The sequence below is a fragment of the Homo sapiens genome, chromosome 11 (assembly GCF_000001405.40).
Source record: "Homo sapiens chromosome 11, GRCh38.p14 Primary Assembly".
Taxonomy (NCBI): Eukaryota; Metazoa; Chordata; class Mammalia; order Primates; family Hominidae; genus Homo; species Homo sapiens.
This window is the reverse complement of record NC_000011.10, coordinates 37,504,283-37,505,974: the sequence shown is the minus strand read 5'-3', so window position 1 is coordinate 37,505,974 and position 1,692 is coordinate 37,504,283. Positions and strand designations below refer to the sequence as shown.

Below are 1,692 nucleotides of genomic sequence, written 5' to 3'. Positions count from 1 at the left end.
GAATCCTCCAAGTAGTAGGCTTCAAAGAGATTAGATGGTAAATATTTCTTATCAGGCTTATAAAGGTACCAGAATCTTAGTTAATCTCTCCTGGATCAGGAAAATATTTGGAAAGGGAAGGGGATTCCCTATAGAATACAGATTTCTCCCACAGGAGACAGCTTTGCAGGGCTATTTTAAAATACATCAAAGAAATACATTTTAGGATAAAATACTTTGATTTCTTCCAGGGCCTGCTATCTGTCATTTTGTGATATACCGTATTGTCACAAAGAGTCCGTTTGGTCAGTCCTGAGACCTCTGTTTTAATGTGAATGCTGATTAGTTGTGCCTGAACTTCCATGGGGAGAAGGTATAATGAGGCATGTCTAATCCCTCATTTCCATCACGGCCTGAACTAGTTTTTCAGGTTTACTTTGGAATGTCCTTGGCTGAGAGGCGGGATCCATTCAATTGGTTGGGAGTCTTAGAATTTTATTTTTGGTTTACAATATTGAGATGCTGCACAACAAGTATAAATTTATCACCATTTTCTCAGCATTTTAAAAAGGTAATTACTCAAGGTGTGTTAAAAAAGCAGTTAAGAAATATTGGTTGAATAATTTTAAAATATATTTCTGAAACTGAAAATCACAGACTTAGCTTATACCACACACAGCAATCATCTGAAATAATTTCCTCAAAACTAAAAGGGCAAGACCCAATACTGGTGACTTGGCAATTATCAGAGAGAACTGCTACATAACATTAACACTAAATAGATCCAGGTTTCAGTTTGCTTCATTCCAATAAGATGATGGCTGTTTGCTTATCTTAGCCATAGATAGAGGGTGGGTGGCGTGCGTTCCCTCAGGTCCCATTTTTTTCCCCCACAGCTGATATCATTATGAATCATAGCCCTCGGTTTCAGTGAGCATAGGTCTTGTCTCAGATTCCTTCTCAACATTCCATGAGAAAAAACTAATTTGTCATAACTACTTAGGCTGTAGTTTTTATGAAGCTATAATTTAGAAATCTATGCAGGAAGTAATAAGGGTTTGACATTAACTCATGACGAATAATAAAGAGTGCCTTTGATCCTTTTTCTCCTGGGCACATATTTTATGAAAATATATACCTTCCATTAATGAGTCCAAAAAAAGAGACTAACAACAATGTTGAGATAAAATAGATACCACTTAATAATTACCCAGTATGTCCCAAACACTGTGATAAGTGCTTTACTCTTCTTATCTTGTTTAATCTCAATAACAATTCTATGAGATAAGAAATGATATATCTGCAGTTGCTGAGAAGGAAACCAAGGCTTAGAGAAGTGAAATAACATGCTCAAGATTACTGAAAAATTCGCTGACAGCCAATATTTGCTAGCCAGTTGTTCTGACTCCAAAGCCTATCATCTTAACAATTACACTAAAGTGCCTCTCCACCTCAGCTACAAAGTCCAGTATTCAGAGACAGACTGCTCTTTGCTGAGAAAGTTGCATTGCAATGACCTCATTGTGTAGCGCTTGAAAAGAGTCCTTTCTCATTAATTAAGGAAAATTCCCTTTTGGCAAGAGCAGTCCCCACTGTAATGAAAGCAAAGCACTGGTCTTCAATTTAATAGGGATGCTTTCAGCTCTGAGGGCAAGGAAGGAGGCAGCTCTGAGTCATTACTTATTGCCACACTCAGTCAGTGGAACAATCATC

General features: G+C 37.4%; 1 annotated feature.

Annotated features, from left to right (window-relative positions):
* Window positions 201-1,400: an enhancer, noted in NCBI's record as "CDK7 strongly-dependent group 2 enhancer chr11:37526125-37527324 (GRCh37/hg19 assembly coordinates)". NCBI's record gives its function as "activates an origin of replication core promoter dependent on BRD2, BRD4, P300/CBP, MED14 and CDK7 cofactors, with strong dependence on CDK7, by STARR-seq in HCT116 cells {active_cell/tissue: HCT116}" and the evidence as "EXISTENCE:reporter gene assay evidence [ECO:0000049][PMID:35650434]".